This window comes from Homo sapiens, chromosome 1 (assembly GCF_000001405.40).
Source record: "Homo sapiens chromosome 1, GRCh38.p14 Primary Assembly".
NCBI classification, from domain to species: Eukaryota; Metazoa; Chordata; class Mammalia; order Primates; family Hominidae; genus Homo; species Homo sapiens.
Window position 1 is genome coordinate 192,747,426 of NC_000001.11, and position 15,419 is coordinate 192,762,844.

General features: G+C 37.8%; 1 long non-coding RNA gene across 2 annotated transcripts in view; it reads right to left on the bottom strand.

Moving 5' to 3' along the window:
• Window positions 1–7,506: 7,506 nt before the first annotated feature.
• Window positions 7,507–15,419, bottom strand: part of LOC105371665 (uncharacterized) — a 37,592-nt gene continuing 29,679 nt past the window's right edge. For both annotated transcript variants that reach the window (XR_922383.2, XR_001738349.1), the window contains exon 5: window positions 7,507–7,589. This is a non-coding gene — a long non-coding RNA (uncharacterized LOC105371665). The remainder of the gene's footprint in view (window positions 7,590–15,419) is intronic.

The window sequence follows — 15,419 nt, forward strand, 5'->3', positions numbered from 1 at the left end:
CAATAAGTAATCCCAGCAGGAGAGCTAACAGTCAAGATTTCCTATCTGGTGGTGAAATGGAGAGAGTTAGGGATGTGAATCAGAGATGAAGTTCTGAGCTGAATCACCCCCAGTGAATATAAATGAGGCCTCCATCTGGGATTTTAGAGTATATTATTTCCTTCACTACCATGGGTTTACAGTTTAACTCATATCCAGCCAGATGTATTTAATTCATATCCAACTAGGTGACAGGCTAGTTTTTACTTCTATAATTATTAACAATGATATATACAGCCTAGAATTAATCCAACAGGAAGCTCTGGCATTTGAGTAGAGTTAGTAGTCCATGTGCATTACTGATGTATCCACAAATAATATACTACCATCAGCTTAAGGGCCAGAAAGCATTTTCAACACAAATTGTTATATATGTCTTTAAGAGTCTTTAATGTTTTAATTCTAGAGTGGAACGTAAGCATATTTGCCTATGCATGAATAATCTTCCCATTATAGCCTTTAGATACTGATTCTTCACACACGAAGACACCCCAATAGCCTAAAACAGGCATTCAATATGGAAATGTTTTTTAGCAGAAGTTCTGCCTACCCACCCAATTAATAACCAATTCACCCCAAAGTGAATCAGAAATAGACTTAGGAGGGAAGAATATTTTATCTGCCAAAGCAATGCAATGTGCTTTTGTTTACACCTTTTTGTTGATAGTTACCATGCAACACAAGAGGCCACAGCAGCCCCTGAGGAAATAAGATGAGATTAATCATATGTGATGAAATGCTGACACTATATTACATAATATTTCAGTGCTACCATAGATACACCCATTTTAGCTTCAGATGAATAAAACGTTTTGCTCCATATTTATAATGATAAGTAGTAAGACGTTTTAAAGGGATTCTATAAGAATGGTATCAAGGTTTTATTGGCAAAGGTCATTAAAAATTGTTATATACACAGCCATTCTACTCAACTTTGCTATCTTTGGTACAGATGGACTTCTGTGGTTTTAGGTCTTATTCATTCATTTATTCTTTAAAAAAAATTATTGATCTATGACAATGTAAACATACTTTGCACTGAATAGGATTTTGCCTAAGGTTTATCCTATACTAAGTCTATCTTATGATTACATTAATAAAGTTTCCCAGAGTTGAGGATGTTTCAGTGTTTCCAGGGTAAAAAATTTGGTAACAGGCCGGGTGCGGTGGCTCACACCTGTAATCCCAGCACTTTGGGAGGCAGATGCAGGCAGATCACGAGGTCAGGAGATTGAGACCATCCTGGCTAACACAGTGAAACCCCATCTCTACTAAAAACACAAAAAATTAGCCAGGCGTGGTGGCAGGCACCTGCAGTCCCATCTACTTGGGAGGCTGAGGCAGGAGAACAGCGTGAACCCAGGAGGTGGAGCTTGCAGTGAGCCAAGATCACACCACTGCACTCCATCCTGGGCAACAGAGCAAGACTCCAACTAAAAAAAAAAAAAAAAAAAAAAAAAAATTTGGTAACATATTTAAGGCACCCGTAGACAGAATATTTCATGTCACTGACGTATATTAATAAGTAATTACTTATTACAGAGAAAAATATAAGTTTCTAAAAAAGGTAAAGAAACAAATTATAAATCTATGTAGAAGTACACTGATATGTGATTTTCCTTCTTTAATGAACAAATACTTATTGAGATTCAACCAAATGCAGAGCACTATGTTAGAAGCCATGTGCAGGAGACGGGCAGTGTCAGGGAGGTTGGAGAATATAAATCGCAATCCTCCAAAATTCAAAAGGACTTAAAATCTAGAGGAGGAAAATATTAAAATGGAAGAAAGGTTAGCTCCTAATTTAAGGTAACATTATTTAATAAATAAGAATATGCACTTCAATCTAGGTTTCACCAGTTTAAGATGGTGGCCTACATTTAAATTATTTAAGATGTTTCCTAATCAAAATTAGGATAACAATGGTACCTTTTTCTCATGAGGTTTGAGGATTAAATGAGGAAATAATCTTAGCACAATGCTTGGACTTAGCATTCAGGAAATGTCTATTGTTATTTGATTCCAAATGAGTAATACATACAAGAGGAGAAGAACTTGGAAATGGAGTAGAGGTAGAGGTAGTACACAGCAGAACAAAAGAAACATCAAGCATGGGGAAGGACTTCAATGGGAGCTTGAAAGACAGGATATAAATAGGCAAAGATAAACAGGGTAGTACTACAGTCTGTTGGAGAGGAGTAACAGAGGACAGACACAAATGTCATGTTTGCTGAACCAATCTAAGTAGAATAGAAGGTGTGGGTTGCAGTTTACTAGGATGTAATATTGTAAACAAGAGTGGAGGCCAAATTGAGGCACTTTGAATAAAAAGGCTAAATGATCTGCACTTCACAGGTAATAGGGAGTAAATTGGTTGCTGGTTTTGCATATTAATCAAAAATATTCATGTTCAGAGACTGTCAAAGAAATATAAATAAATAGTCCTACTGATTTATAGAATCTAGTTTTTGGCACCATGCTTTCAAAAATAAAATCTAAGATATTAAGGGAAAGAATTGACCCTTTTAGAAACATGTTTAGATTTTATAAGCCATGCATCATAGTTATATATCTGCATCTTCATGTTCCATTTTCAGATAAATATATAGGCTCTTTGACTTTCAATGCAAAAGTTAATAGCTAATCTATTTTTAACTAGGATAGCAAGCATGCTTGGCCTACTGAGTTCTGTAAGTAGAGAAGAATAACACAACAGTAAACAGAAATTACTTTATGAGTCAACTGTGCATCTAGTCTTGAAGAAAATGTCTTCAGTGTTACATCACTCCAATTAATTCTTCAGATCTCATTAATTAGATAAGCATGCCAAATTAAGTTTCATAATACTTAGGCCGATTTTAGGGCATGCCAAAGATTCTTATGTATGTTATGACTTCTGAAATATTAAAAATTTTTAAATGGAATTTTCTAGATTTAAAATTATAAAATTCTTTAAAGTTTCAAAGTCAACACAGACTTATATGTACTTCATTTCAAATTTTAAAATAGTTTTGTCTGTGATTAAAAATATTTAACTGAAGTCAACCTGATGAATTAAATAGGACTCATAAGATTCAAATGTATGATAATAACATAAACTACACCTTAGGAGGGCATGGGAACTGAGGGATCCATATATTAATAGCGATGCCTACAGACAAACTGCTTTAACTGCTAGGGGAAAAAAATGAATTGCTGACTCTAAGAACCAGAAGAGTATTTGAGGAGAGACACTTTCCAGCAGAGTCCCCTCAAGTCAAATCATTCAGATGACCCAGTCATTCTACCAGTGATGTCAGCCATGCTTAAAGATAAAGAAACTTTTTCTTTCTTTTTTTTCTTTTTTTTTTTTTTTTTTTTTTGAGATGGTGTTTCACTCTGTCACCAGACTGGAGTGCAGTGGCACTATCTCGGCTCACTGCAACCTCTGCCTCCCGGGTTCAAGTGATTCTCCTGCCTCAGCCTCCTAAGTAGCTGGGACTACAGGTGCATGCCACCATGTCCAGCTAATTTTTGTATTTTTAGTACAGATGGGGTTTCTCCATGTTGGCCAGGATGGTCTCGATCTATTGACCTCGTGATCTGCCCATCTCGGCCTCCCAAAGTGCTGGGATTACCTGCGTAAGCCACCGCGCTTGGCCAATAAAGGAACTTTATCCCTATCCCCGATCAGGTATGACATAAAAGACAATCACCAATTAGGTGCTGACTCATGCACCTTAATAAACAGCTGAAAGATGTGTATAGGAAGGACCTCTCTTCCTATTCAGTTCAGTTCTGCAAACATATACTCAAAATCCAAGGGCAGTAAATAAAGCACTCCACGTGGTAGTAGCTGCAGACTTCAGCATGGCTGTCCAAACACAGTGACCTGCTGCAATCAACTGCAGCCTACCATGCCCGAGCCCCCCAACCAATGGGCTCCCTTGCAGCCCGAGCCTCCCCGACGGCCACTGCCCCCTGCTCCCTGGCACCTGGTCCCATCCACCGCCCAAGAGCTGAGGTGTGCAGGCACGTGGCAAGAGACTGGCGGGCAGCTCCGCCGCAGCCCTGGGGCGGGATGCACTAGGCAAAGCCAGCTGGGCTCCTGGTGGGGTGGGGTCTTGGAGAACTTTTCTGTCTACTGGAGGATTGTAAATGCACCAATCAGCACTCTGTCTAGCTCAAGGTTTGTAAATGCACCAATCAGCGCTCTGTGTCTAGGTCAAGATTTGTAAACACACCAATCAGTGCTCTGTGTCTAGCTAATCTAGTGGGGATTTGGAGACCTTTTATGTCTAGCTAGAGGATTGTAAATGCACCAATCAGCACTCTGTGTCTAGCTCAGGGATTGTAAACTCACCAATCAGCAGCCTGTCAAAACAGACCAATCAGCTCTCTGTAAAATGGGCCAATCAGCTCTCTGTAAAATGGGCCAATCAGCTCTCTGTAAAATGGACCAATCGGGAGGATGTGGGTGGGGCCAGATAAGGGAATAAAAGCAGGCTGCCTGAGCCAGGAGAGGCAACCCACTGGGGTCCTGTTCCATACTGTGGCAGATTTATTCTTTCACTTTTTGCATTAAATCTTGCTGTTGCTCACTCTTTGGGTTCGTGCCGCCTTTGTGAGCTGTAACAGTCACCACAAAGGTCTGCAGCTTCACTCCTGAAGCCAGCGAGACCATGAACCCACTGGGAGAGGCAAACGACTCTGGATGGGAGGAATGAACAGCTGCAGACTTGCTGCTTTTAATAGCTGTGACACCGCAAATGCAAAGGTCTGCAGCCTCACTCCTGAAGTCAGTGAGACCAAAAACCCACCAGAAGGAAGAAACTCCAGACACACCATCTTTAAGAACTGTAACACTCACCGTAAAGGTCCGCAGCTTTATTCTTGAAGTCAGTAAGACCAAGAACCCACCCATTCCGGACACACAACCATGAGAAAAGGATGGAGTTATGACTGATAGAAAAGGAATTGCTCATCTCTGCAAAGTAATTTTAGTTCATCTTTGTCTCGATGGTCATAATCTCAATAAATCTCTGGCAGGTATTATGCGTGAATAGATGGCACTACATGACAAAAGTTGAGTACCACTGATTGGCGAAGTAGGAAATACTCCATAATTCTCCTGTGTGCACAGCAACTACTGTTCCCAAAAGTCTCTCCACTGGCCCAGGAGTATGCTCTCTAATTCAGTAGCACAGAAATTTTGCAAGTGGTTTGACTGAATAGCTGTAACCTGGCAGGGGTCACCCCAGTATCCCTAGTCGTATGGTAGTTGAAACCATATAAAATACCGTTTGATTTTTAAATTTCAAGAATGTAATGACAATGTCTTATAATCCATTGTAACATTCAACACAATCTTTAATGTGGAATGTTTACTGAATAAAAAAATGAAAAATGAAAGACTGGGGAAGGTAGGACTTATTGGCAATAGTTAGACTAACTAAATTGTGAATTGTACACTGGGTTGGCATCAGGATCTTTTATGCGACTGAAATCTTCCAAAGTAGCTAATGGGTAAAAAGGAAATGTGCAATTGATTGAAGTTTGGAAGAGAGAGAGAACAGGCACTCCCAGCCCATCTCCTCCCATCTCATTTACTTCTACCAATTGTCCCTTGAGGGATCTCCTAAAACCTTCAGCATTTATCAGAGCACAGGTTAAACAAAACCACGCCAAACCAAATTCTATAACTACAAGAATAAAATTTACTTGGTTTATCACTGTAATTTTTTTTTTTTTTTTTTTTTTTTTTTTTGAGACGGAGTCTCGCTCTGTCACCCAGGCTGGAGTACAGTGGCGTGATCTTGGCTCACTGCAAGCTCCACCTCCCGGATGCACGCCATTCTCCTGCCTCAGCCTCCCAAGTAGCTGGGACTACAGGTGCCCGCCACCACGCCCAGCTAATTTTTTATGTTTTTAGTAGAGATGCGGTTTCACCATGTTCACCAGGATGGTCTCGATCTCCTGACCTCATGATCCGCCCACCTTGGCCTCCCAAAGTGCTGGCATTACAGGTGTGAGCCACTGGGCCCAGCGGTTTATCACTGTAATCTTAACACATAGGTACTAGCTTTTAGTAAGTGCTTAGTAAACATTTACAGAATGAATGAATGCAGGGTTATGACATTTAGAAAAACTATTCAAGGAAAAAGGGGCAAATTTATAGAAAGATTCAATAGTGAACAATTTATTCACCCCAAGATTCATATAAAATTGCCTTTAAAAACTACAAAGATATAAACAAAAATATTCTCAAAACGCATTTGTAGAAATTTTATTTTACTTTAGTAATATGATATTCATTGGGTTGTGAGTCTAAGTACGGAAAATAAATGATTCGTTTTTAGAAGCAGCTATTCTGTTGTGTTCACGTAGACTGAAAATCTGGGATGTATCTGCAAACTCATTTATGCTCATAGCTTGAGATTGAGCATGCATTATTTGTTCTTTTAGAGAGTTTCGTTTCTTTGATGACTGGCTACAGCAGTTTAAATGATTCTTTCCTCAAGTTCCTGATACTGCTTTGTTCCACCTTTACATTTCCCTTGTACTACTCAAAATTAATCTTCATGTTATAGGTTACAGGATGTTTTCCCCAACTCAGGGCATTGTACTTATGTTTCACTTAAATGTAGGTATTCTTGTTTCAAGGTTGCTAAAATGCAGAAACTTCCTAGAAGCTATTCAGTGGCGTTTCTTAATTAGAACAATATATACCGGTTCTTGTGGACAAAGAACTGTATAATGTTTGATGACTTAAATTTTATTGAATATATAAAGCAACTTATCAAAGGAGAAACAGTTTCTCACTGAAGACAGACAAATGTCTTTCACAGTGAGCTACCCAACCAAAAATCCTTTTTCAGCATAGGCTCTTGGATGTTTTCATTTACTTGATAATAGAATTTTATAAATAATGCAAAGTGGTTCCAAAAGTTTAATTGAATTTATGTATACAAAAGTTTACCGTATAGGACCAATATTGTTCATAATTTAACTTTGATAAAGTTTATTGAAAACATTAGGCCAGGTGCAGCAGCTCATGCTTGCAATCTCACTGCTTCATGAGGCTGAGGTAGGAGGATTGCTTGAGGCCAGGATTACAAGACCAGCCTGGGCAACATAGTGAGACTTCTCAGCAGACTATCGCAAGGACAAAGAACCAAACACCGCATGTTCTCACTCATAGGTGGGAATTGAACAATGAGACCACATGGACACGGGAAGGGGAACATCACACACCGGGACCTGTTGTGGGGTGGGGGGAGGGGGGAGGGATAGCATTTGGAGATATACCTAATGTTCAGTGACGGGTTACTGGGTGCAGCACACCTGGGTGCAGCACACCAACATGGCACATGTATACATATGTAACTAACCTGCACGTTGTGCACGTGTACTCTAAAACTTAAAGTATAATAAAAAAAAAAAGAAAAAAAAATTAGCCAGGCTTGGCAGCACATACCTGTAGTCCTAGCTATTTGGGAGGCTGACGTGGAAGATCCCAAGCCCAGGAGTTGGAGGTTATGTTAGCTAGGATTGCACGACTGCATTCCATCCTGGGTAGCAGAGCGAGACCATGTCACCCAAAAAAAAAAAAAGTTTAATACTTTTGAGGCCTAGTGGCAGGTAGAAAGAAATGAGTTCTATTAGAGAATATCTCATTTGTGACTCAAGGTTTCTTTTATAAGTCATATTAACTTTTACTTTGATTTCAGCAATTTCATGCAAGAGAACATGTAAACCATGGACTTAGGTCTATAGTCTGGTCATATGTTCCAAAAACATAAGGATATTCCTAGGATTGATGCACTCATTTCAAAAAGTAAAATTCTAGGAATTTAAAGATTCGTTTTCCTTTCTTCCTTCAAAGATGGGTATCTGAGAATTCAGACAGCTTCTAGTTCAAGAAATATACCTGCAAAACATTGAAGGTAATTGACACTCAAAACTTTCCATCATCTTTGAAACTGTGGCTTTGTTTTCATTGGAAACTGTTGAATTTTTCTAAAATCTTTTGTTCCATTGGAGGTAGAACATTCAAGTGATGAGAGAAAATTCAACTTTCTAGTAGCTCCTAGTCAATCCATACACCTAGTGTCAGCCTGAATACCTGCATTTCTTTGAACAAATTAGTTGTTTTTTTCTCTGTTGCTTAAAGTTCAGTATGCTCAGATCTTTGGTCACATTAATATGAAGTACTATTTAGGAACCACTCATATCCATCAAATTGGCTCTCTCAAAATCCTTTGACAAAAAAAAAGGACTTGATCTGAAAAAGGAGCTTAATGAATATCTTTAATAAGGAGATAAGAACAAAGAGATTTTCACACCTGATCAGTTTCTTCATCCACATTACTAATGTGGCTTGCAATGTTTACTGCATACATTCTGTTAATGCATAAGGCAATGGAAATTATGCACAAAAATAATTGTCCTTAGGTAAATGATTGAAATATTATTTTCTTTTCATTGTGAGTGTTCTATCTTTAGGAAATGAACTCAGTTTTTATTGCTTTCAAGGTGATGATTTTACTCATGGTTACAATGTTAGAAAGTTACATTTATAAAAAGTTTCAGGGCTACATACTTAAGATTTGAAATGTTTATTGTGTGTTAATTATAACTCAGTAAGAAAAAGAATATGTTCAAATCCTACAGCAGCCAGATCTTTGCAAAATTAATATGGGTCTCAGTTTTTACATATATAAAATAGCGATTATAATGCTACATGCATCTCTTGGTTACACAATTTATATAACCATAGGAGGAGATATTTTCTATACAATAAAAATTATGTTAACACTAAAGCAGCTCCATTGTCTGGGTATATACCCTGGGGTTCATTATCATGCGCCAGTAAAATTTAGGACACGGACACACACGAGGAGTTTAGGAGCAGAGGTTTAACAGGCAGAAGAGGAAGAGAAATAGCTCTCTCTATAGAAAGAGGGGTCTCCAAGTGGAAAGGACCAGCAGGTGGTGGATGCACCCGAATTTTATAGTCAGGTTTGAGGAAGTGGTGTCTGATTTACATAGGACTCACAGATTGGTTTGATGAGGTATGACGTTAACATAGCATGAGGAAGGCTGGCCACCCACCCTAATCTTATTATGCAAATGGGCTTTTCAGTTGATCTGCACCATCTTGTCTGCTTCTTACTGTATATGTAGCTGACAAAGAGAAGGGAAGATGGAGCCACCATCTTGAACATGTCTAGTCCTTAGTTTCTGCCTGGCATTCACCTGTGAAAGCTCCCAGCTTGCTTGTCTTGTGTCTGCAGCCCGACTTTACGGGCTGCTCTTTGTTAGAAAATGATTTTGAGCTGCTTTCATTAAAAAGGAAAGCCTTATCGAGGACTCCCATACCCTTACTATCTGCCTAAGTGATTTCTTCTTAACTCCTATATCAACACTAGGTACCACTGAACTTAAGAAAGTTTATATACATTTTTATTATTTTCAATTGCTTGGAAATCTCTGCATAGTTACCATCTTCTTCCTGCTTCCTTTGTCCTGGCTGTGGTAATGCGTATTGCTGCAAACCTCTTCAACACCTATTCAGCTAAGTAGAGCTTGGTCTGGCACCTGTAGTACTCTTGAGACTTGAGGCTGCTCTGCTGTGAGGCTGAGGCCAGAGTCTGAATGCTGGGCAGGCCACCAGGAACCGTTTTGTCTGCCTTTTCAGAAAACAAGCATTGACTTTCTGAGCCCACTTGAATTTCAATATAGACTTGTAATAGAAAACCCTTTTTGCCCAAGGGTTGTGTCCTAAATGGTACCTCAGGTCTTTTCATCTTGTATTCTCAAAAAAGAAAAAGAAGAAAACCTAAGTAAGTTGGAAGGCTCCCCTGGTGACAGAGCTTTAGCTTTCTCTTCTTCCTTTAATTTTGAAACTGGAAACTATTTTGAAAACAAGTTTGTGCTGAATGCTAATGATTATGTTTTACTCTAATATTAAGATTTGTAGTAACATTCTGATGACTAGTATTAATGACTTTCTTTTCTTAAAAAACAAGTCCTAATTCACTCTGCACAATTTAAAACAATGATTTACATGTAGTAGAACAAGTTTTAAAGAGACATATGCAATTATTTCTTCACAGAGTGTTAACATTTTAAACCTAGTCAGTTTGTAAGATAAGCCTCTCTCAAGTACTTTCTTTTGAGCAAGATAAATGCACCTTATAGAAAAACTTCTATAAAGTTTTCTATAAACTTTATAGAAAGCTTCTCCATTGGAAGCTTTAACAATATTTTCCAAATGGTTTTACTAATCATCAGTTTAATTTTATGGACTGGCCATTTATGGGACATTGCCAGACACCGTTAGAGTTTTCAGCAAATTACAGTGATTTCATCTTAAAGCTGAAGTCAGAGAGCCAATAATCTTTTTTCTTTTAATAGACTCTCTCTCTTCTGGAGAAGTTTTAGATGCATAGCAAAATTGAGTAGAAGGTACAGAGATTTCCCATATACACCCTGCCTCCACAGCCTCCCCCATCATTTGTTACAAGTGATGACGTACATTGACACATCATTATCACTCAGAGTCCATAGCTAACATTAGGGTTTATTCTTGGTGTTGTACATTCTATGAGTTTAAATACATGCATAATGACGTGTATCTACCTTTATAGCTTCATACAGAGTATTTTCACTGTCCTAAGAATTATCTGTGCTCTGCCTATTCTTTCCTGCCTCACCCCTAACCCTTAGCAATCACTGATCTTTTCACTGTCTCCATATATTTGCCTTTTCCAGAATGTTATGTTATAGTTGGAATCATACAGTGTGTAGCCTTTTCAGATTAGCTTCCTTCACTTAGTAATATGAATTTAAGTTTTCTCCATGTCTTTTCATGACTTGACAGTTCTTTTCGTTTTAGCACTGAATAATATTCCATTGTCTGGATGTACCATAGCTTATTTATCCATTCACCTACTGAAGGACATCTTGCTTGCTTCCAAGTTTTGGCAATTATGAAAAAAAGTACCATAAACACCCATGTGCAGGTTTTGGTGTGAACATACATTTTCAGCTTTTCTGGGGTAAATACCAAGGAGCACGATTGTGGATTTTATGGTAAGAGTATGTTTAGTTTTTGTAGGAAACTGTCAAACTTGTAATAGAAAATCCTTTTCCAAAGTGACTGTACCATTTTGCATTCCTAACAGCAATGAATAAGAGTTCCTGTTTCTCCACATCCTTGCCAGCATTTGATGTTGTCAGTGTTCTGGATTTCAGCCACTCTAACAGGTATGTAAAGGTATCTCATTGATGTTCTAATTTGAATTCTGTTGACATATGATGTGGAGCATCTTTTCACATGCTTATTTGCCATCTGTATATCTTCTTTGGTGAGGTATCTGTTAAGGTCTTTGGACCATTTGTTAGTTGGGTTGTTTGTTTTCTTATTGTTGAGTTTTAAGGGTTCTCTGTGTTTTGGATAATAGTCCTTTATCAGATATATGTTTTGCAAATATTTTCTCCCAGTCTGTGGCTTGTCTTTTCATTCCCTTGATATTGTCTTTCACAGAGAAGTGATTTTTCATTTTAATGAAGTTCAGCTTTATCAATTCTTTCTTTCATGGATCATGTCTTTGGTGTTGTAAATAAGAAGTCATCGCCATATCCAAGGTCATCTAGATTTTCTCCTACATTGTCTTCTAGGAGTTTATAGTTTTGCATTTTACATTTAGGTCTGTAATCCATTTTGATTTCATGTTTGTGTAAGGTCTGTGTCTAGACTCACTTGTTTAATGTGGCAGTCCAGTTATTTGTGCACCATTTGTTGAAAAGACTATCTTTGCTCCATTGTATTGCCTTTGCTCCTGTGTCAAAGATCAGTTGGCTTTATTTACGTAAGTCTATTTCTGGGATCTCCATTCTGTTGCATTGATCTATTTGCCTATTCTTTTGTCACTATCACACTGTCTTGATTATTGTATCTTTACAGTAAATCTTGAAGTCAGGTAGTGTCAGACTATTGAATGTCTTCTCCCTCAATATTGTGTTGTTATTCTGGGTCTTTTGCCTCTTTAAATAAACTTTAGAATAACTTGCTGGGATTATGATTTAAAGTGAACTGAATTTATGGATCAAAGTTAGGGAGAACTGACATGTTGATGGTATTAAGTCTTCCTATCCAAGAACATGGAATGGTGTTCCATTTATTTAGTTCCTCTTTGATTTTTTTCATCATATTTTTAGTTTTCCTCATATAGATTTTGTGCATTTTTTTGATTTAGCTATATACCTAAGTATTTTTTAGACGCTATTATAAATGATATTGCATTTTTATTTCAACCTCCACTTACTAATTGCTGGTAAGTAGGAAAGCAGTTGACTTTCATATATTAACATTGTATCCCACAATCTTGCTATAATCCCTTGTTAGTTCCACGAGGATTTTTGTTGATTCTTTTGAATTTTCCTCATAGACAATCATATCATCTTCAAACAAATACAGTTTTATATCTTCCTTCCCAGTAAGTATACTTTTATTTCCTTTTCTTACTTAATTTCATTAGTTAGGATTTCTAGTATGATGCTCAAAAGGAGTGTTAAGAGGGGACATCCTTATTTAGTTCCTGGTCTTAGTGGACAACCTTTTAGTTTCTCACTGTTAAGTATGATTTGAGTTGTAGAGTTTTTTGTAAATATTCTTTATGTATCAAATTGAGGAAGCTCCCCTCTATTTCTAATTTAACTGAAAGTTTTTATCATGAAAGGGTGTTGGATTTCATCAAGTGCTTTTTCAGCATCTATTGATATTATTATGCCATTTTTCTTCTTTGGCCTGCTGATGTGATGAATTACATAAATTGATTTTTAAATGTTAAGCCAGTGTTTCATACCTTGAATAAATCCCACTGGGTCATGGTATATAATTCTTTTTATACATTGTTGGATGTGACTTCTAATATTTTGTTGAACCAATGATTTTTCTGCATAAATATATTAGTTTCATCAAAGGGGAACTTTTAAGATAATTTAAATTCACTTATTTCCTAACATACAGCATATTCAAATATCTATTAAAAGCTATTTACATCATTTTTTATTTTCTCTTGGCTATTGATTTTTTGAATAGGAAATAATGAGTTATTCATGAATTAAAAATTAATATTAGTTAATATTTACTGAGTCCTTACTATGCCATGCACTATGCTAAACTAAATCATTTAATCCTTAGAAAAGCACTATAGGTATGCATTACTATCACTAGACCTGTTCTACAGATGAAGAAATTGAGGCTCAAAGAAGTTAAGTAACTCATCCAAGGTTATACAGATCCAGTCATTTGCATCCAGGCAGTATAGCTCCAGAGAGCCTACATTTAACTCTATGATTTACAGTTCAACAAAATCATCCACCACTCATTCACAACTCAGCAAGTTTCCTGACAGATAAATCAAATAACAAATTTGAACGGCACAAAGCATCCATGTGTTGCTTTTCATCTTTTCATCAGCATTTCAAATTATTTCCTGGGTGACCCTCATGTGCCAGGCACTGTTTTAGCAACTGCACAAACAGAGACTCAGACGTCTAAGATCCCTGTCCGAACTTCTTTCTAGTAGGATCAGGAAGTAGAATGGTCAGGAAAGATTTCTTTGAGGAAATAGCATTTGAGCTGAGAAAAAAATTGTCTTTGGAAGACTATTGGAAGAAACTAGCTATACAAAGAGCAGAGAGATTGGGATTTGTGCAAAGAAAATATAGTTATGAAATCCTCGTGACAGGAAAGCACTTAATTTGTACAAAGTACTGAAAGGACAAAAAAAGAAAAAAAGGTGATCTGTATGGCTAAAATCTAGTGAATAGACGTATATGTGGGACATGCTGAAGTTAGCAGGCAGAAAAGCAAGCTCAGACATGGCCATGTGGGCAAAGTACAGATTTTATTCTAAGCATGATGGGAAACCACTGGAGGGCAATAAACAAACAGGGTGACATGGACCACTCTGACCTGTCTGTGGCTTGTAACAGAGCCACAAGTAGAAGCAGAGAGATCAGTTAGGAGTTTATGGTAATCTAAGTGGAGTGGTTTGAGTTATGGTAACATAAGTGAGAATGAAAGGAAGGAACAGTTTTTGAGAAATATTTTGAGTGTATATTGACAGGTCTTTTGGCTAAAGCAACTGAATGAATGGTAGTAACATTTGCCGAAATTGAGGAGCTTCAGAAAGGAACTGGATGGGAGAGGAGGCAGGAAGGTTGGAGGATGGGGAGAACAGATGAAATAGTTCTGTTTGGAATGTGTTGAGTTGGAAACGTTTAATTCACATCCAAATAGAGATTATTTACATCAAGTATTTCTTAGTCTTTGACCTTGAAGACAAGGCCTGGTGCCCACTGCAATGCATGAGCTCAAACTATATTTCTAGCTCTAGTACAGATCAAATGTATACTTTAACACAAGTGGTAAAGTTGATAGAAATTTAGTCTTAGTAGAGCATAGCTGTTTCAAGACTTATAATTATTTGAAAGCTATTTAGATGATGTGGAAGGCTGAAATGTTTACATAAATTAAAAGAACTAATAATCTGTATGTTCTAATCACTACCTGGAGAGGGCCTTTAGAGCTGCCCAGCAACGATACTGTATTTTCCTAATTATTCACTCCCTACTCTCCTAACTGCTTTTCTCTTTTCAAATTTTTTTTTTTTTTTCCGAGACAGAGTCTTGCTCTGTCACCCAGGCTGGAGCACAGTGGTGCAATCTCAGCTCACTACAACCTCTGCCTCCTGGATTCAAGCAATTCTCGTGCCTCAGCCTCCCGAGTAGCTGGGATTACAGGCATGTGCCACCACGCCTGGCTACTTTTTGTATTTTTAGTAGAGATGAGGTTTGACCATGTTGGCCAGGCTGGTCTAGAACTCCTGACATCATGATCTGCCCGCCTCAGCATCCCAAAGTGCTGGGATTAAAGGCGTGAGCCACTGCACCCGCCCTCTTTTCAAATTTCTAACAGCTCTTTCTCACTCTTACTCTTAGATGATGACCTTACTTCCTGTTTCTCTTAAAAGAGAATGTCCCCCACCACAACAATCCACCTAACTCTGTCTGTGCCCATATTTCCTTCTTTCTCTCCAGTTAAAAATCTAGAAATGTCTCTATTCCTAGCAGAACTAAATTAGATCCCCCTCCTCTGTGGCTGCCCAAGGACTTTTCCCAGCATTTCTCCACTTCCTGTCCTCTATCACTGATCCTTCCTTTCATGCTGGATATGTATATCCTATCATACTAGAATTGTAGATCACAACATTAAAAGCATGCTCTCTGGAGCCATACTGCCTGGATGCAAAAACCTTTAAAATGTTTCATCCGCTCACCAATATTGCTATTTTTCACAGCCAAAAACAAAATAAAAAAGTTGCCTG